The sequence below is a fragment of the Homo sapiens genome, chromosome 14 (genome assembly GCF_000001405.40).
Source record: "Homo sapiens chromosome 14, GRCh38.p14 Primary Assembly".
NCBI lineage: Eukaryota > Metazoa > Chordata > Mammalia > Primates > Hominidae > Homo > Homo sapiens.
Window position 1 is genome coordinate 63,679,864 of NC_000014.9, and position 21,916 is coordinate 63,701,779.

General features: G+C 37.6%; 1 protein-coding gene and 1 long non-coding RNA gene across 2 annotated transcripts in view; one reads left to right on the top strand and one right to left on the bottom strand.

The window, feature by feature from the left end:
- Positions 1-4,352: 4,352 nt before the first annotated feature.
- SGPP1 (sphingosine-1-phosphate phosphatase 1) overlaps positions 4,353-21,916 on the bottom strand; it is a 43,850-nt gene continuing 26,286 nt past the window's right edge. Inside the window, exons 2-3 of the mRNA NM_030791.4 lie at positions 18,706-18,795; positions 4,353-6,793 (exon numbers count right to left, since the gene is read on the bottom strand). Coding sequence (NP_110418.1) covers positions 6,242-6,793; positions 18,706-18,795 — 642 coding nt within the window. The 3' untranslated portion in view covers positions 4,353-6,241. The remainder of the gene's footprint in view (positions 6,794-18,705; positions 18,796-21,916) is intronic.
- Positions 10,412-20,848, top strand: LOC124903327 (uncharacterized). Its single transcript, XR_007064204.1, has 2 exons — positions 10,412-10,669; positions 18,934-20,848. It is a non-coding gene; the product is annotated as an uncharacterized LOC124903327 (long non-coding RNA).

A 21,916-nucleotide genomic window follows, 5' to 3' on the forward strand; every position in this document is an offset into this window, starting at 1 on the left:
CTGGAGCAGGAGGAAGAGAAGGTGAAGGGGGAGGTGCCACACACTTTTAGATAACCAGATCTTTTTTTTTTTTTTTTTTTTTTTTTTTTTTGAGACGGAGTTTCGCTCTTATTGCCCAGGCTGGAGTGCAGTGGTGCAATCTTGGCTCACTGCAATCTCCACCTCCCGGGTTCGAGTGATTCTCCTGCCTCAGCCTCCCGAGTAGCTGGGATTACAGGCATGCGCCACCATGCCCGGCTAATTTTGTATTTTCAGTAGAGACGAGGTTTCACTATGTTGGTCAGGCTGGTCTCAAATTCCTGACCTTAGGTGATCCGCCTACCTTGGCTTCCCAAAGTGCTGGGACTACAGGCGTGAGCCACCATGCCCGGTCAACAACCAGACCTTATGAAAACTCACTATCAGGAGAACAGCCAGAAAGATATCTGCTCCCATGATCCAATCACCTCCCATCAGACTCCTCCTCCAACACTGGGATTACAATTTGACATGAGATTGGGTAGGGACACAAATCCAAACCATATCAACCAAAAATGAGCAAAAATACTGTGCATTAAAATGAGTTTGGTGAATGCTTCCCCTCAAATTAACCCAGATGAAAAAGGAGAAAAACTCTTAAATAGTAGGAAAATTATAATCCATCTTATTGTCACCAACCCCACTGATCCTCTGAATTTGGGCCTGGAGACCTTTGGAGACCAGGGTAGCCTTTCACTTCACTGAAGTAAAAAAAACACTTGATATTTAAGCTCTGAATATATTTAATCTAGATTTTAATTATAAACATCACTTAACATTTTTAAATGTAGTTGGTTTTATGAAAAATTAAAGATCAATTGTAAAAAATAATATTCTCGGGAACATAATTATTTATTACTAGAAACTAAAAGTTATATCCCTGTATATACACAATATTTTCTTTTCAGATTTGATTTCAAGTTTAAAAAAAACAAAATCTTAAAACTAATTTGAGTACAAATCACATTCATACAATGGGGTACTGTAGTAATTACATACAAAACTTTCCTAGAATTAAATTATTAGCCCTTCAATATTTGCATGAAAAGTGACAAAATCCTTACTAAACTGGAAGCATTCATTTACAACCTAAACTTTTAAAACAGGTAGACTATTAAGCAATATTAAAATTTTTAGATCATTAATCTCTTTAAGAATCTGATGAATGCTGTAGAAATTTTCCCCAGAAAAATGCACATATTGAAGCCTAAGGACTGAATAATCGTGTAATTCATTCAACATATCCTAATTGAATGCCTACTGTGTCCCAGGGATCCAGAAGTAAAAAGATGCATAAGGTCTTTTTCCTCATGAAGCTTACGTCATAGGGATAATGACAGAAAATGTAAAAAGTAAATAATACATAATTATAGACTGTGATTGATATGCTTTGCCTTTGTGTCCCCACCCAAATCTCACCTTGAATTGTAATAATCCCCACAAGCAAGGGCAAGACTAGGTAGAGATACTTGAATCATGGGGGCAATTCCCCCATGCTCTTCTCGTGATAGTGAGTGAGATCTCATGAGATCTGATGGTTTTATAAGGGGCTTCCCACTTCGCTCGCCACTCACTCTTACTGCATCCTACCGCCCTGTGAAGAGGTGCCTTCTGCCATGATTTTAAGTTTCCTCAGGCCTCCCCAGCCATGCAGAACTGTGGGTCAATTAAACCTCTTTCCTTTATAAATTACTCAGTCTTGGGCAGTTCTTTATAGCAGCATGAGAATGGACTAATACAGTGGTAGATTTCACTGATAGATACAATAGATTTCAGTTATCCTTTGTCCTAATTTAGGACAAAGGATAAACCTCAACTCTGAGGAATTTTTTAAAAAATCCTTATATAGTAAGCATTTTGTCACTTTTCATGCAAATATTGAGGGGCTAATAATTTATTTCTATTGTGAGAATTTTTTTTTTAAAAAAAGAGAATCCATTTTATATCTCCTAAGAAAATGTCATCATACAAAAAATAAAATATTTAAAATTTATTTAATTTTTAGAAAACAGGAAAAAAATCTTAAAAAACAAAAATATTATCATATCCTGTTGCTTGCTGTACCAGAGAATGAGCTTTCTAGACATCCAAGGAGAATGCAACAAAACTAAAAATGATGAAAGGAAAAAAAAAATACTCTCTTAGGGGCTCTGGAGCAATGAAAGAATCTGGTTTTCATATTTATAGGCAAGAAAGCTTTCACAATCACTAAGGGTTTTTAGCATGCACAGTCAGTACAACAGTTATCAAAGTATATTTTATTCTGCTCATAGACTGCTGCTGTCAGATGTAGAATCCCATATTTGGGAGAGAAAGGAAGCAAGGGAAGGGCAAATTAGGAAAAGCCAGCTAGTTGAGATTTAAGAATTAACATTTCTAGCCTGGCACAGTGGCTCACCTCCAATACCAGCACTTTGGGTGGCTGAGGTGGGAGGACTGCTTCAGCCCAGGAGTTCAAGACCAGTCTAGGCAACATAGTGAGGCCCCATCTCTATAAAAATAGAAAAATTAGCCAGACATGGTGGTACATGCCTGTAGTCTCAGCTACTTGGGAGGTTGAGGCAGGAGGATGGATTAAGCCCAGGAGGTAGAGGCTGTAGTGAGCAGTGATCATGCCATTGCACCCCAGCCTGCATGAGAAAGCAAGACCCTATCTCTAAATAAACAAATAAACACATTTATTTCCTTAAACACTTTTATTTTTTAAAAAGTTTATTTTTCTTTGAATTTTCCCTCCTGTGTGTCTCACAAGGAAGGCTTGCTTCCTTATAAAGAGATCTGGTGGGCTTAAAATGAAGAGCTTTCTAAAAGTCCTTCAAAATTAGCATGTTAAAATTTTTATTGTGCTATGTATAACTTATTATAACCACAACCAGAATTCAAGTGTAAAAGTTTTTTCTTTTTTCTTTGAGATGGAGTCTCACTTTGTCACCCAGACTGGAGTGCAGTGGTGTGATCTCAGCTCACTGCAATCTCCACCTCCTGGGTTAAAGCAATCCTCCCATCTCAGCTTCCCGAGTAGCTGAGACTACAGACATGTGCCACCATGCTCAGCTAATGTTTTTGTCTTTTTTTTTTTAGTAGAGACTGGGTTCACCATGTTAGCCAGGCTGGTCTCAAACTCTTGACCTCAAGTGATCTGCCCGCCTCAGCCTCCCAAAGTGTTGGATTACAGGCGTGAGCCACCGCGACTGGCCAAGTTTTTTCTTTTTAACTTACATATATATTTCAAAAGGAATGGAAGAACTTGATCAAATAACGAGAAAATACCCAGCACAGTAATATCTACTAATTACTTTTTCTCAAACTGCTACCTCTTCCCTTTCTTAAAAAACCTTATCAAACAACAAAAACCCTCTTCAGAAAATCTAATGCAGCTATAAAGTAAAATGTTAAAAACTGATCCTTACTGATGTCCAGATTAAACATTTTACTGGCCGGCTGGGATTACAGGCATGAACCACCACACTTGGCCACGTTAGGTTTTAAATCTAGAATAAACATTCCTTGTTAACGAGAACAAAATTGTTTACCAATAAGAAATCTTTGTCATATAAAATTGTGTGATCATATCTTTCTCCACTCCCACTGCTTCACTTGAGTAGCCTTTAAAAATTTTTGTGATTATATATTTTAAAAAACCACTTTAGTATTTACTTATCTTTATTGAATGCTCTGTTAAAATTTGCCTTTAAGGGAATGAATGACAGGGAGGGTGAGGGAAATTTTGCTTTTAAATTCTATTCATTCCACTGAATTCATTTTTATGTTGTCCCTGAAATATATATTTAATAAACACTACTTGTAAAGAAAGCTACAAAATAAAATAAAAATAATTGTGTCAATCTTGAAGTGGCATTGTTTTATATTAGGTCATATAATTAGTTTCTGGCAGACCTGGTTTTTGCAGTTCACACATCATGGCATTTTAAAATTACAAAATAAAATGTCCATATGTTTTATTCTGCTTGAAAAAGTACCTGTTCCTAGTTTTATGATTAATCCTTGACATTCATGGAAAAGCAGTAAATTACCTACAATACTATTAGTCACATTTTACTGAAACAATTTTGTGCATAAGCTTTTTAAAAGAAATATGAAACTTTTTACTAAAAGTACAATGTTAGAAATAATCATAAATGGAACCAAAGCCAGTTTGTACCTCAAAGAACTTCTTCAATGTCTTCTATTGCCAAAACAGCACTTTGATTTTGGACAAAACGCTTCAGAGGAAATATGTGCTAGAATGAAAATCCAAGACATATTTTTAAAATCTCTACCAGATAAAACAGAAACAATTGCTCGGAAGGCAAACAAAACAAAGCAAAACCTTCTTTAATCTTCAATTTGGCTTTTATTTTAAAATACATTTAGCATAGAACTGTCATAGGACAGAAAATAATAAAACACAAATGGAACATTTTCAAATACCTTTTAAGCTAGACATAAAAATCAACAGGATAGCATAGGCCCAAATTATGGGAAACGGTCCCTAAAATTCAATTCATTAAACATACATTTTGAAAGTAAAGCTCTTTTCACATTTTCCAACGTACCAATATTTTCCTACATGCCTTGGTTTCCTTTTAACTAATAAGTAAAGGGTAAATTTAGTTGCTTTACTTAAAATTACCAGCTTCAGTTTTGGTAAAAATTACCATGCCCCTAAATTCTCAATCAGAATTATAAAAATATGAGCTCAAATAGTTATGGTGCCCAAAATAGAAACATCTGAAGTGATAGTTCTGGATAATCATACAGATATTGCACTAAAATCAGTAATTTCATACCTGGTATTTATTTATATGGAAAGTTAATCTCTTCTTTATGAAAAACTTTCTACAAATACACTTACTATTAACGTAAGTACAACCACACTTCAAAATATAAAGGTAGACAGAAAAAAGAATAGTTTAATACTATACGCAAATTTTCCACTGTGAAAATAATAGAAAGTTGAAAAAATAATAGGATCTAAAATACTGATACTAATTTTAGGTTTTATAATTTACCTTAAATAGCCAATAAATGGGTATTAAAAGTTAACGGTGCTAAATCCAATCCTTTCCAAATTATTTAGAAAAATGCTTTGTTTACATATGAAGTATGTGCATTGTCCCATCTATAAATTTCAACGTTTCCATTCACTGGAAATACCTACCTGCAGTATAAACAATCAAGACAATGTACAAAAAATATGTCCTGCTCCTATAACTTACAATGCACAGAAAAATATCTACAAAAAGGGAAGTATTTATCCATTTAGCTTTCTAATAAATTGGTGAGAAAGTTTAGCCCATTCCACATTTCTTTCTAAATAAAGGCTAAAGAGTTAAGGGTAATTTACTTTTATGCCTGTCACCCTGACATACATTTTTTAAAATATTTGCTTGATTATATGTAACTTAAGATAAAGTTAATGTCTTATTTTTACATCACAGTACACATAGCATTTCTTAATTTAGCAACGGAAAGGCACAATTAGCAAGCAATAAAATTCAGTACCTGAATTATTAAACTGACATCCAGAATAGCTGCAAATAAAGTTCATTCAAAACAGTATACAGAACTTAAAAAAAAATCCAAAAACTAATTTTTCTAAAAATTTGGTCCATTAAAAATGCCTCCCATGTTCAACATCATGGATAACATGAAAGGTAATGGCAGTGTAAAAACAGGCAGTAAATCAATGTATAGTAGCATATGCATTCTGGTCTAGTAATTACGCAATTCAATTAGGAAATGGCTCCCATAGTAAATAAATGTTAAATATATCTGTTAATAACAACATACCTGTATGTAGTTCAAATACACAGGCACAACTGTTTGCATATTATTATTGATTTTATAATACACTCCCATAGTTTAAAAAAACACTTAGGTATATTATTTTATATATAATATATATCAGATATATAATTGCATATTATGTACCTTATATATATTATATATAAGTTGAATCCATAATACAAAACTCTCCAAACATTACATGAACATTCTAAATGGATACTTATCATTTTCTCAGTAACGAAATAGCTCAGCTCACCTAAAACAGTATCTGGATGTGCAATGATAAAATGCACTGACTCTTATGAATTTACTTAAATAATTATTTAAGTTAAATTCCTGCAAAAGCCTAATTCTGACCTGGCTTTACCTGGAATATATTTTTGGGTATCAGTAACTGATACCCTCCTTTCTTATCATAAACAATACTTCTCCATCAAGAGATACCAATAAAGAAAAATATGTAAGGAACAAAAAATGTGATGGAGAAACCAACCATTCCATAGGTAATATACCGATAAGGAAGTTCAACTTCCATGTGCTGTCTTGCTTTTCGAATATCATCACACGGTATATTGAAGATTTTGCAGGCTAAAGGAATGGTGATCTTTTTCATTACATCTCTGATTATTAGTACAAATACCATCCCTATGAGGATCCGCAATATGGCTTTTCCAAACAGAGTCACAGTAATGGGGGGCCCAGCTAAAGGTAATGTATCTAGAGAAGGATCTAATACTAGACCCATGTTATAAGTAACATGAGATCCACATGCAATTCCAGCACCACTTCCTAGTATCTCGGCTGTGTCTCCTCGGGATGTGCTCCAGGTGTCAAGAGTGAAAGAAAAGATCCCCAAAGCTAAATGAAGCCCGATGATGATGAATGGAGCATATTTGTGAGTTTGGTTGAAGTTGTCAATCAGGTCCACAAATGGATAGAAGACAGCTAAGATTAAAATGGTATATAGGAATCCAGCAATAATATCCTAGGAAAAGATAAAAGTATCGTTGTTTAGTATAATACTGAATATTTTTGGCATTTAAAAAATAATTTATATTTGACATTTCAAATGTTGAATATACATAAATTTTTTAAAGTTGTCAAATTCTCAAAGTAAACTTTATTAACTGACCATATAAGAGGCACTAAAAGCTGTATTAATAATAAAAGGATTTATATTTTCATAATTCTACCCTTTTATAAATTAACTACATATATAATATCCACAAATTTACATTCAAATTCTGAACAACAAATTATGCTAAAATTGTGTAGTTTTGATTTCTGGGGAAAAGTACACTTATTATTCAAAGAAATGGTTTTCATTTTCATATGTTTATGTATGTAATTATCTCCATGACCACACAGGATATACATCCTAGGTAATTTTCTTTTCTCATTCATTCATTCATTGAACAAATATTTATGAGTGCCAACCCCTATTTTAGGGGTTGAGGATACATTGCTTTAAAAAATGACAAGAATGTGGCTGGGCAAGGTAGCTCATGTCTGTAATCCCATCCCTTTGGGAGGCTGAGGTGGGTGGTTCACTTGAGGCCAGGAGTTCAAGACCAGCCTGGGTAACATAGTGAATCCCTGTCTCTACTAAAAATGCAAAAATTAGCCAGGTATGGTGGCTCCAGCCTGTGATCCCAGCTACTTGGGGATGGAGGCATGAGAATCGCTTGAACCCAGGAAGTGGAGGTTGCAGTGAGCCAAGATCATGCCATTGCACTCCAGCCCGAGTAACAGAGCAAGACTGTTGATAACCACATAAGAAAGCAGATAAATATTACAATTTCAGATTGTTATGAATCTTATGAAGAAACTAAAACAGGACAACAGAATAGTATGATGAAGGACCCGATTAGAGTACTGATTGATTAAGGAAGCCTGTCTGAGGGTGGTGACAGTTGAGCACAGATCTGATTCTAAAGGGAGCCTATATTTAGAGGCAGAGGAAATGTGTACCAGGTAGAGGGAATATCAAGTGCAAAGGCTTTTGTAGGCTAGGTAAGAGAGTAGATTTTATTTCAAAAGTGATAGGAGCTGGGTGCAGTGGCTCATGCCTATAATCCCAACACTTTGTCGAAACTGCTTGAGCCCAGGAGTTGGAGACCAGGCTGGGCAACACAGGGAGACTTCGTCTCTTAAGAATAAAAAGTGAGGTCAGGTGCAGTGGCTCACACCTGTAATCCCAGCACTTTCAGAGGCCGAGGCGGGTGGATCACCTGAGGTCAAGAGTTCAAGACCAGCCTGGCCAACATGGTGAAACCCTGTCTCTACTAGAAATACAAAAGAAAATTAGCTGTGTGTGGTGGCACACACCGATAATCCCAACTACTTGGGAGGCTGAGACAGGAGAATCGCTTGAACCCGGGAGGCAGAGTTTGGGGTGAGTCAAGATCGCACCATTGCACTCCAGCCTGGGCAACAAGAGTGAAACTCCAACTCAAAAATAAATAAATAAATAAGTACATACATACATACAAAAATTAGCCGGGCATGGTGGTACGCGTTTGTAATCCCAGCTACTCAGGAGGCTGAGGCAGGAGAACTGCCTGAACCCGGGAGGCCGAGGTTGCAGTGAACCGAGATGGCGCCATTGCACTCCAGCCTGGGTGACAGAGCAAGACTCTGTCTCAAAAAAAAAAAAAAAAAAAAAAAAAAAATTTTAAAAGAATTGACAACTGTAACTTGATGATGGATTGAATGTGAGAAACAGCAAGAAGAAAGAGAGGAATCAGAGACGGTTCCTAGTTTTAGGTAGGAGCAATTGTGTAGACTTGATAGAAGATGGTTTACTTGAGGAAACAAAGCTATTAAATAACTTTCTGAATCATTCCTGACAACATACAAAAATGTTCCGTATTTCTACCTTACAACAAAACAAAACCCTATGATCTACTATTACTGAAAAACTTATCAATGTTTATATTCACTGTCTCCACTTCCTCACCTCTGATTTTTCTCTAAACTCACCACTACACTGAAACCACTTTTTTCATGGATACTAGAGGTCTTCAAAAACAACCGTCATTTCTTTTTTTTTTCTTTTTTTTTTTTTTGAGATGGAGTCTCGCTCTGTTGCCCAGGCTGGAATGCAGTGGCGTGATCTCAGCTCTCTGCAACCTCCGCCTCCCAGGTTCACGCCATTCTCCTGCCTCGGCCTCCCGAGTAGCTGGGACTACAGGCGCCCGCCACCATGCCCGACTAATTTTTTGTATTTTTAGTAGAGACGGGGTTTCACCGTGTTAGCCAGGATGGTCTCTATCTCCTGACCTCGTGATCCTCCCGCCTCAGTCTCCCAAAGTGCTGGGATTACAGGCGTGAGCCACTGCATCTGGCCAGGTCATTTCTTAACAATATTCAATACAGTTAAGCAACAGACTAGTTGCTTGATGTTTCTGTCTTAAAATTTTTTATTATATAGGATTTGATACATAGCAAAATACATGTACAGTATATATGAAACTATAAAATTCATATCTATGAAATCACTTCCCAACAAAAGAACTATAATATTACAAGAATTGTCAAATCTACTGTTGTGCTGTTTCTCAACCTATCACTCTGCATTCCTCCCTGGAGGCAATTTGCAAGCATGAATTTTGGCTTCATAAATACCTGGGATTTTTTGTTTGTTTGTTTTGTTTTGTTTGTAGATACCAGGTTTCACCAGGTTGCCCAGACTGGTCTTGAACTCCTGGGCTCAAGTGATCCACCTACCTTGGCCTCCCAAAGAGCTAGGATTACAGGTATCAGCCACCGGGCCTGGCCATAAATACCTATTTTTTCAAATCGTTTTACCACATATCTTCAAGCAAAATATTATCTAGTTTGGCCCGGGGGTGGTGGCTCATGCCTGTAATCCCAGCACTTTGGGAGGCCAAGGTGGGAGGATCACCTGAGGTCAGGAGTTCGAGACCGGCCTGGCCAACATGGTGAAACCCTATCTCTATTAAAAATACAAAATTAGCCGGGTGTGGTGGCACATGCCTGTAATCCCAGCTGCTCTGGAAGCTGAGGCAGGAGAATCGCTTAGAACCCCGGAGGTGGAGGTTGCAGTGAGCTGAAATTACGCCACTGCACTCTAGCCTTGGTGACAGAGCAAGACTCTGTCTCAAAAAAAAAAAAAAAAATTATCTAGTTTTGCTTCTTTCTGAGCTTTGCTAAAATGTTACAGCAGTCTCTTTTGAACTGCTTTTTACACTTAACATTAAGATTCATTCATTATATTATATGTAGTTATCGGTCATTCACTTTCACAATCATGTAATATTCTGCTGCATCATTATACAATTTATTGGTTTTCCCACTTATGGTCATTTAAGCTGTTTTTGGGTTTTGGATTAGTTAATTGATTACGGTTGAACTTGAATGCTTCTCTGTTTTTTGTTTTGTTTTGTTTGTCGCCCAGGCTGGACTTTGGTGGCACAATCTCAGCTCACTGCAACCTCCACCTCAAGTTGTCCTCCCCACTTCAGCCTCCTGAGTAACTGGGACTACAAGCGTGCATCACCATGCCCAGCTAGGCTAAGTTTTGTATTTTTTGTAGACAAGGTTTTGTCATGTTGCCAAGGCTGGTTTCCAACTTCTGAGCTCAAGCAATCCACCTGCCTCAGCCTCCCACAGTGTTGGGATTACAGCTGTGAGCCACTGTGACCGGCTGGGCTATTTCTTTTCTATGCAATAAAAATTGTGTCATGAAATGACAGGGTCCGCAGTTGCAGTGCTTGAAGCCATTGTTCTAAAAGAGATATAACTCCAAATCGGAACACTTTGGAATATAAGAATAGCTGGAGAAGAAGATACAGATAATTATGAAAAAGAATACAGTTGAACATTCAACTATAAAATGGTAGGGAAATAGACTATGTTTTGTTCAACCTCAAATATTTTTTGGATGGATGAATGAATGAATAAACAAATCCTTCACATGAATTTGTTTTGTCTAGCAGAATCTACCAAATTACTTGTAAATGAATATCTTTCCTCTCTTTAAATGATGTACTACATGATAGATATAAGAAAATATTTTATTTATTTATTTATATGAGACTGAGTGTCACTCTGTTCCCCGGGATGGAGTACAGTGGCACCATCTAAGCTCACTGCAGCCTCTACCTCCTGGCTTCAAGCAATTCTCCTGTCTCAGCCTCCCAAGTAGCTGGGGTTACAGGTGTGCGCCACCAACCACACTCAGCTAATTTTTGTATTTTTAGTACAGACAGGGTTTCACCATGTTGGGCAGGCTGGTCTCGAACTCCTGACCTCAGGTAATCTGTCCACCTTGGCCTCCCAAAGTGCTGGGGTTACAGGTGTAAGCCACCATGCCCAGCCATGAAAAACATTTTAAAAATTTTATTTAGATATAAAACATAGTTTGGCTGATAGTCTCCTATTGTACAATAGTAAGTAAATAAAGTTGCTTAAAATTATAATTGTATTCTCTTTATTTAAATAAGTGATTCCTTTTATAACAGGTCAAGGAAAGATATTACACAATCAATTAACAAAATGTTTACGCTCGATCTTAGCCAAAAGGCTGAGAGGTGATCAATTAACAAAATGTTTAGGAAAGTGTCAACTAAGGCAATAAATATCATGTGTGCATTCCAACTCTTAGAAGGACATATAAAGCATTTCATAACTGAGTTTTGTCTATCATTAAGTTTCATTTAATGCCAGATCCCAAAATGAATTTATAGACTATTTCTTCTTGTCTTAGAATTATCTTTCCTACCTATATTTCAGGCAAACTATTATATATTCTTTGAGATTCTCCTCAGGCATCTACCTCCTCCATAAACTTTCTTCTCCTACCCTGTAATAAGAAATTTTCTCTTCTTTGATTCCACTGCATCCTCCACATACCTGCTATGACTGTTTTCCATTCTTTGCTTGTCTGTTTCTCCAGGAAACCAAAAGTTCATAACCCTTGCTGTAGATTAAAATCAAGTGGAGAACTTGATAAAAATACTGATGCCTGGGACAATATTCAGAGATTATGATTGAACTGAAGTGGGGGTAGGGCATCAGTATTTTTTAAAAATCTCCCCAGTGATTCTGATGTACACCCTGGTTGAAAACAATTGCATTACACTGTTTTATTACATACTGCATATTTAGACAATGACTACTCAAAGGCAAAGACTTTACCTTATTTATACATATATTTTCAGTGCATGAAAAATAAGTAAGCAGGAAATAAATGTTTGGTTAGTTAAATTAAGACAGTTAAGGTAATTCTTTAAAAATAAAAATAAAAAACAAAAAGAGAAAGAAAAAAAAAGAAGAAAGGAAGAAAGAAAAAGAGTTAAGGTATTCTTTAGACTCATCACATTGACTACATAATCCTGCCTGACAAGAGCTCTATAAGAGAAGCAGATGATATATAATTTATTGAACCAGGCCTAAGACATTTTTGGAGAATAATAACTTTCCGTACTAAAAACACTGCTTCAATACTTTACAATTATTGTCACATTTAACCATAACAACCAATATGAAACAGCTTGCCTCGAAAAGTCCCATTTTGCTCTTGTCCCCAGGACAGGTATTAAAAGCACCTTTTTCCCTTTCAAAAGTGTGCAAATTTGATGGAAATTTATGGTTACCTTAATCAACCAGTTTTTAAATAATGAAAACTGGAGTAAGGTCACACAGCTGCTTATTTAACCTCTTACATTGAAGGTACTTGACACAGTTGTTATAAAAATTAACATTTTGAGAATCAGAAATTAAATATTGGGAGTGAAGAGAAACTAAATGTTCAACTTCCTTTTTTTTTTTTGGAGACAGGTCTTGCCGTGTCATTCAGCCTGTAGTGTAGTGGCGTGGTCATAGCTCACTGAAGCCTCAACCCCCTGGGCTCAATTGATCCTCCCACCTCAGCTTCCCAAGTAGCTGGGACTACAGGCGCAAGCCACCAGGCCTGGCTAATATTTTGTATTTTTTTGTAGAGACAGGCTTTCCCTATGTTGCTCAGGCTGGTCTTGAACTCCTGGGCTCAAGTGATTCACCCACCTCAGCTTCCCAAAGTGTTGGAATTATAGGCATTATCCACCACATCCAGCCTCAACACTTTTTTTTTGAACAGGATGTCTTCCGAGAAAACTCACTGATACATACTAAAAATTACCAAAGAATTCTGATCAACTGGATTTTATTTCAGTTACTCAAAGATTCCACAAGTGACTCAAACTCTGACCATGCATTTGGATAAGGAGATCTCAAATGATGTGACTGTCAAACCTCTATTCTTCATATTTCTTTTTTTGAGAGAGGATCTCACTGTATGGCCATGGCCTAGGCTGGAGGGGAGATCATGGCTCACCACAGCCTCGACTTCCTGGGCTCAAGCAATCCTCCCACCTCCCAAGTAGCTGGGACCACAGGCACACACCACCACACCTGGCTAACTTCTTGTATTTTTTTTTATAAAGACAGGGTTTTGCCATGTTGCCCAGGTTGATCCAGATATCCTGGGCTCAAGTGATCCACCCGCCTCGGCCTCCCGAAGTGTTGGGATTACAGGCGTAAGCCACTGCACCTGGCCAATTCTTCATATTTCAGAGCCCAAATTGCCAAAATAACTTCACCTTATGAGGTTACATTCCCTTTGTTTGCTATCTTACCCTTACTTCCCTACCTTGTAATTAAAGGCACAAGTCTTGGTAAATACCCATAGGATTTTGGCTACAAAAATAAAAGCTGTTGCTTTACTTTTTATCTTAAATTTCATGAGTGATTTAGAATTTCATGTTATATGCTAAAGTGTATATATTCTAAACTTTGTACTTTTCACATAGAATTTATATCAAGTCAGATGTTTCAGACAAATGACAACTGATAAGCTATTTATATAAAGCCATACATATTTACTCTAAGGTTAAGTGAAATGAAGGGTTAACAGCTCTGAAGTTAGCTTTTTATTAATTATTTTTATTTTTATTTTTAGATAGGATCTTGCTCTGTTGCCCAGGCTGGAGTACAGTGGCAAAATCACAGCTTATTGCAGCCTCAATCTTCCTGGCTCAAGCAATCCTCCCACCTTGACCTCGTGAGTAGCTGGGATTACAGGTACAAGCCACCATGACCAACTTATTTTTTAATTTTTTATAGAGACGAAGTCTCCCTACATTGCCCAGGTTGGTCTTGAACTCCTCCCACCTTGGCCTTGCAAATTGTTGGGATTATAGGCGTGGGCTGCTGTGCCCAGCCAGGTATTTTTTTAAATTATGTATTTTTTCATAATAGATATAAGCATATGTTCAATCCTGTAAAATGTTTCTTTTATAGTACCTTAAAAAGTGAAAAAACTGGCCAGGCACAGTGGCTCATGCCTGTAATCCCAACACATTGAGAGGTCAGGGCGAGTGGATCGCTTGAGCTCAGGAGTTCGAAAGCAGCCTGGGCAACATGGCCAAACCCTGTCTCTTCCAAAAAGAAAAAATAGAAAAATCAGCAGGGCATGGTGGTCCCAACTACTTGGGAGGCTGAAGTGGGAAGATCGCTTGAGTCCAGGAGGCAAAGGTTGCAGTGAGCAGAGATTACGCCACTGCACTCCAGCCTGGGTAACAGAAGGAGACCCTGTCTCAGAAAAGAAAAGAAAAAAAAAAAAGAAAAAATTCATTAAATGTCTTTAAATTGTTATGTTTGATCTCTTTAACATTAAGAATTCTTTAAAATAATAACTTCTCATGTATCAATTGACATAAAAAATCCATTATTTGTTGTCCTCTACTTTTTGTGTATAGCTCCACGAGTATTAAACTTAGATTGTTCCACACCTTGTCTGACCAGGAAAAAAAAACAAAACAAAACTTAGATTGCTACGAAACTAGACAAATCTGCTTCCTTTTCTGTTTGAGTTTTAAATTGTTTATATTTCCCTAGATAGGGTATATTGAACTCCTATCCAATAGAATCAGAAAAAGAAACATTCAAATTTACGACATAACCATGTTGGCTATCATTTTGATATCAATATAATGGATAACATTAAAATGTATAACTAAGTGGTTTTAAGTGTTAGAGCACAAAGTATGCAATAAAGAACATTAATGTTAAAGGTAACAAAGAGCTCAAAGTAGCAAATTTTCTAAAAGGAAATTTAGCAAATAATTTTAGCTATTTATTATTATAAATAACTCTTATACCCCAAAATTTGTTAATTACACATCTAAATGGAATACTCCAGGTTATCGTCAATTTATGGTAGATGATATTAAATACCATACATTTAATGAAGATTTATTAGGTATTAAATTTGAAAATTTTTTTCATTTATACTGATCAAACCTAGAGAGGCTAGTGATTTGCTGAGACTGAAATTCAGGTCTCCCATCTCATAATGGCTTTTTTGTTTTTATTTATTTTATTTTATTTTATTTTTTTTGAGAGGGAGTCTCGCTCTGTCGCCCAGGCTGGAGTGCAGTGGCGCGATCTCTGCTCACTGCAAGCTCCGCCTCCCGGGTTCACACCATTCTCCTGCCTCAGCCTCCCCAGTAGCTGGGACTACAGGCGCCCGCCACCACGCCTGGCTAATTTTTTGTATTTTTAGTAGAGACGGGGTTTCACCGTGTTAGCCAGGATGGTCTCGATCTTCTGACCTCATGATCCGCCCGCCTCTGCCTCCCAAAGTGCTGGGATTACAGGCGTGAGCCACCACGCCCAGCCTTTTGTTTTTATTTTAACTATAATATATTTCAGGTGCCCTGGATCCAGTTTAAATATGACAATGACAACAGTTTCTGACAACAAAATGTATTGTTATAATGCATTGTTTTTGATTATAAAAGCTATGATTAGGGATGACTTTTGAAGTATCTATCTTCTTTCATTAAAATACACATTTAATACATGCTCACTACACAAAAAGTAAAAATTATAGATAAACAATAACAAACAGTTTTTAACCTAACAATAACCATTGTTAAAACTCTTAGTGTTAGGCTGGACATAGTGGCTCACATCTGTAATCCCAGCACCTTGAGAGGTTGAGGTGGAACGATCACTTGAACCAGGAGTTTGATATCAGCCTGGGCAGCATAGCTAGACCCTATCTCTACAAAAAATTTAAAAATTAGCTGGGCATTATAGTACATGTTTGTAGTCCTAGACACCCGGGAGGGTAAGGTGGGAGGATCACTTGGGCCCAGGAGTTTGAGATTGCAGTGAGCTATGTTTGCACCATCACACTCCAGCCTGGGTGACAGAGCAAGACCTTGTCTCTAAAAAGGCAAACAAACAAAAAAGAACAGATGTTGTCCATCCTGGATATTTGACTAACCCAACTAAACATTTCATTTTTAAAAAAGAACAGTATCAGCCAGGCATGGTGGCTCACACCTGTAATCCCAGGACTTTGGGAGGCCGAGGTGGGTGGATCACTTGAGGTCAGGAGTTCGAGACCAGCCTGGCCAACATGATGAAACCCTGTTTCTACTAAAAATACAAAAATTATCAGGGCATGGTGGCATGCACCTGTAATCTCAGCTATTTGGAAGAATCCCTTGAACCTGGGAGGCAGAAGTTGCAGTGAGCTGAGATCACGCCTCTGCACTTCAGCCTGGGTGACAGAGCAAGACTCCATCTCAAAAACAAACAAGCAAGCAAACAAAACCAGTATCTTTGAGATTATATATTCAATGTGATCACATAGATTCTTTTTCTTCCTTGTATGATGATAATGAGTCAAGGGATATTATCTAATATCTTTTTCTCCAAGAAATACCAGGAATTCACTTTTTATCACTAAAGATGCATAACCATTTGGTAGTTTTTTCAGAAGTAGTGATGCTAACTTTTAGGGGTGGAACAGAATAACTCTAAAAAGACACAGAAGATAGAAAACATTTTCTTGTAACAAGTATTTGATTTTGCATAAAAATATGATACTTAATCTGATTACAAAATTAGGAGAGATTAGTCAGAAAGAAGTGTATGTAAATTCACAATTCATATTAAATACAAATAATTATAAAAAGTCAAACACAAATAATTTGTTTATTAAAATAGTGTTTAGGGCTGGGCGCAGTGGCTCACATCTGTAATCCCAGCACTTTGGGAGGCCAAGGCAGGTGGATTACCTGAGGTCAGGAGTCTGAGACCAGCCTGGCCAACATGGTGAAACCCTGTCTCTACTAAAAATACAAAAATTAGCCGGGTGTGATGGTACATGTCTGTAATCCCAGCTACTCAGGAGGTTGAGGCACAAGAATTGCTTGAACCTGGGAGGCAGAAGCTGCAGTGAGCCGAGATTGTGCCACTGCCCTCCAGCTTGGACAACAGAGCAAGACTCTGTCTCAAAAAGAAAAAAAAGTGTTTGGTAGGGACTTCAAAAGGAGAGAGGGAGAGCGGGGGGAGGAAAGGGCTGCAAAACTTCCTGTTGGGTACTATGTTCACCATCTGGGTCACAGGATCAATAGACGTCCAAATCTTGGCATCACACAATATACCTTTGCAAACAAATCTGCTTATGTACCCCTTGAATCTAAAATTAAAATTTAAAAAAACCTAGAAACAATGACCAACCCCAAAATTACAGCACACACTGCCTCCCAACAAAATAAAATAGTGTTTGGGACTTCTGGAAATTTATCTGTGAAGGAGCAGGTGCTGGAAGCAAGAAATTTGAGATAGAAACCAACATTTCTATAACTAAGAAATAAGAGAATGAAATAATATGAGAAAAAAAATTCTAAAAATGGTAACATGTTAAGGACAAGAAAAAAACTGACATGACCCATTAGAAACTAGAATTCCATGAATTCTTCCACCTTTTTTTGTGATCCTTTATCTCCATGATAATACATAATTCATTCATAGATGCCTCATGAGACACCATGTTGGATACTAAAGGTAGAGTTAAAACACACAGTTGCTGTTCTCAAGGAACTTGGAGTCTAGTATACTTGACAGATAAGGAAAAAAGCAATTGCAATTTAGGATAAGTGGGGAAGGGTCACCTCACAAGTCTTGAGAAAGAGAAGATGGGGAAGGTAATAAGGCTTTGAGGGGTTAAGAATATCTATAGTGAGTCTTGAAGAATGAATGGGATAGTTAAGGTAAAGAAAGTGAAAGGGGCATTCCAAGTAAATGTTACAGCATTTGTAAAGTTATGGAGGTAAGAAACCCTTTGCATTGGAGGAAACCTAATAATTCAGTATAGCATCGTATTTGTGTTTTGGAAAGTCTACGAAACAGCTGAATGCTAGTGGAGCAGTGTCAAACTGGAAGTTGGCTACTAATTAAGATGCTATCACAGTAATCTGGTCAAGATATGTTGCAGGCCAGAGCTAAGGGGGTGTCAATAGGGATAGCGAGGAGGGAAAGTGAATGGGTGTGGCTGCAAATAGTACAGGGTCCCTGTGCTGCTGCTTTGGGAACCGAATTGCATTCTCAAAACACAATGTCCACTGTGAGTCCTAACATACTGATGGGAAAGAAAAGAAAAGTAGAGTTTAATATGTAAACACAAATGGCCCCTGGAAAGTTTAAGTTCACATAGTTTCTAGTCACTAGTTCTTCAACAATACTTAGGAGCTCTCCTTGGTTTCTGTAGCCACATTGCTGGTTTTGACTCAGTGATAAGAGAGACACAGAAAAGACTGCAAAGGAAAATAAAAGGGAGACTGGAAGGAGGAAGAAATGTTATCTTGATTATAATACCTGGCTATTGTGATTGCTGGAAACTGTTTCTATGAAATATGTGACTACTACATTAATATTTCATAAACCATCATGTTGATATTTTCGCAAAACAAAGTTAGACGACTTACAATATTTTCTCATTTAGGCTTCAGGTAAGTTTGCAAATGATTAAAAATTATAAAATTTCCTGTCAATGTCATAAAAAATAAAGTATTAAGAAGACAACATTTTCCTTACCAGAATAGAGTGCATTCCCATGTAAATTCTACTTAGGCAAACTAGAGAACACCAGCAGGGAATAAGAATCAGTCCATATATAAGAGGGTACTAAAGGGGAAAAAAAGTAAAATTAGTTAAACAAATTTAAGTTAGATATAAACAAACAAATAAAAGACAAATCAAATCACTATTCTATAAAGTCCACTAAAACAAGAAATTTGTTTTTACTCCCCATTGTATTTCCAGCACCTAACCCTGAGTATGGCACATGGCAGACATTCAAGAAATACTTTTCCACAAATGAACAAATGAATGAAATCTCATGTGTCTAAATTCTTTATTGTGGGAACTGGCTCACTTCTGCTTCTACAATGAAGATTCAATCACTGGCATGGTATAGGAGGAGGAGGACAGGTAAGAGACATACTTTTAATATGGCCACCAAAATGAAAGGGCCTCTGGAATAGTACCTGAATCTGGTCCATGTAAATGTCTTCAGTTGTCTGGGGAGGAGGATTGGCATTATCTCCCTCTCACTTCATCAGTGACTGCTATCTCCAATTTATATTGCTATTCCCCTACCTTGCATTCAGTATTCAACACTTTGTACTTAGTTTTTCACTTCCACCCCATTGACTAAAATTTCAAATGGTCCCCTTACTGAGAAAAATTTCCGTGGAATACTAGGAGCACAAATCATAAAAGGGAAAAAGCATAAACAGAAAGTGCAGACAATTCTTGGTATCAATGGCACTAGTGGAAAAGTTGGCTGTGAATGTCCTGAGATTGGAGGGAAAGAGGAAAGGATGGATGGGCATGGTGGTAAGTTTGTAAAGGGAAGAAGGGAGGGCACATTTGGGGCTGTTTATGCCTGATGACTTCAAATTTCTCAATGAAATTGAAGCCAATGTGGTTAGGGAAGTTGGGTTGAAATAAAGGAGCAAGGGACTTAAGTAAGCTTGTAAGAAGAGTAGAAAATATTTAGTACGAAATTGTTGGTTTTTGGTGGTTTGTTTTGTTCTGTTTTTTTAGAAAGACAGGGTCTCACTATGTTGCTCAGGCTGAAGTACTGAGGCTATTCCCAGGTGTGATAATAGCATACTAACACCTTGAACTCCTGGGCCCAAGTGATCCTCCTGCCTTAGCCTCCTGAGTAGCTGGAACTACAGGCAGAGTTGTTTTTTTTTTTGGTTGTTGTTGTTTTTTTTACATATCTACTACATTTAACATGGTCCCTCACTTTCTCCTTGAAACTCTAAATACCCTCGATAGTCATAGCTTCATACTCTCCTGGTTCACCTTTCACCATTTATTTTTTGCTGCATTTCCCACACAAGAGCGTATCTTCCTCTTTTTGTTCTTTAAACATTAGTATACAGAAGGATTCTGTCCTTAGTAGTTACTGACAGTCTTACCTTTTCCTTTTTTTTGAGACAGGGTCTTACTCTGTCACCAAGGCTGATGTGCGGCAGCATAATCATGGCTCACTGCAGTCTCAACCTCCCAGGCTCAAGCAATCCTCCTGCCTCAGCCTCCCGAGCAGCTAGGACTACAGATGGGTATCTCAAACTCCTGAGTTCAAGCGATCCACACACCTTGGCCTCGCAAAGTGCTAAGATTACAGGTGCAGTGAGCCAATGCACCTGGCCCCCTTTCTTATTTTTTTAACTACTTCTAGACTAGGCATGCTGAAGACCTACCCATTTCCCCGGGTTTAAGAACCATATATCCAACTCTGCACATATTTCCACCTTGAGGTCCCTATGGCAGTAAACCCACTATACCTCAAACCAAACTCATCATCATATCACCCACACTTGTTCCTCCTCTGATATTCCCTATTTCATTTGGAAACACCAAAAACCAAGTAATCCAAATGAGAAACATGAATTATCCTTAATTCTTTCCTTAGCCGTTGTATTCAACAAATAATCAAGTTTTACTAATTTTATATTCTAAATATTCCTTGGGAGAATAATTATATTCTTTTCTGGGAGTATAAGTTCCTATTCTTGCTGGAGGAGGCATTAAACAGTAAACACAAAAGCATGCAAATGATATGATATGTAAATATGTATAAGTTATATAAAATATATAAATCATATAATAAAACCTGATAGGTAACATGGAGAAAATAAAAAGAGAACATGTGTTGAAGAAATAGTAATGCTCATTAATATTCCTTGTGCTCCTCCTACATTTTGGATTCACTTACATTAGGGTCATGCAACTAATTTTGGCCAGTGAGCTGGGGAAAAAAGTGACTTATGCCACTTTCAATCTTCCTTTGAACTCTCTCTTTCCTATAGATGTGACCCTGGGAAACTACATGTTGAGATGCATCACGAGACGGGCAAGCTTCCATCAGCCTAGGTCCTTGAGGGTCAAAGTGGACAAAGCTGTTTGCTAACGCATAATGGATTTGTAACACAAGATTTTTTTTTTTTTGAGATAGGGTCTCGCTCTGTTGCCCAGGCTGGAGTGCAGTGGCATGATCTCGGCTCACTGCAACCTCCACCTCTCAGACTCAAGCGACCCTCCTACCTCAGCCTCCAGAGTAGCTGGGACTAGAGGTGTGCCACCACATCCAGCTGATTTTTTAAAAAATATTTTGCAGAGACAGGGTCTCGCCATGTTGCCCATGACTGGTCTTAAATTCCCGGGCTCAAGCAATTCACCCGCCTTGGCCTCCCACAGTACTGAGATGAGAGGCATGAGCCACCACTCCTGGCCAAGATACAAGATTTTGTTATGTGTTAAGTCATTGCAATTTTGGGATTAAGTCATTGCCACAGTATCAACAAGTCTAACTTAATTAAAACAGATATAAAAATAGGGTCATGAGTTTCAGAGTGTAAATGGGGCAGGTTACAGTATTAAATAGAAGATAGTGTAGGCTTTATTGAGAAGTTGAGATTTGAGGCAAGACGGAATGGAGGTGAGGTGAGTATACTTGCCAAGCAGATTATCTGTGGGAATAGCATATACTAGGCAGGCGAATCAGTGAGCAAAGTTTCTGATCACCAAGTATGACTGGCAAGGAGGCTAGCTGTGGCCATAGCAGAGAGAGCAAGTAGAAGAGGTTAGGGAGGTAATGGGGGGCCAGATCAAGTAGAGCCTGGGAGGCCACCATAAGAAAACTGGCTTCTATTGTGAATCAAATGGGGAGCCACTGCAGGGTTTTGAGTAAAGCTGCTATGTAGAGATTAAATTTTAAGAGAGTAAGGCA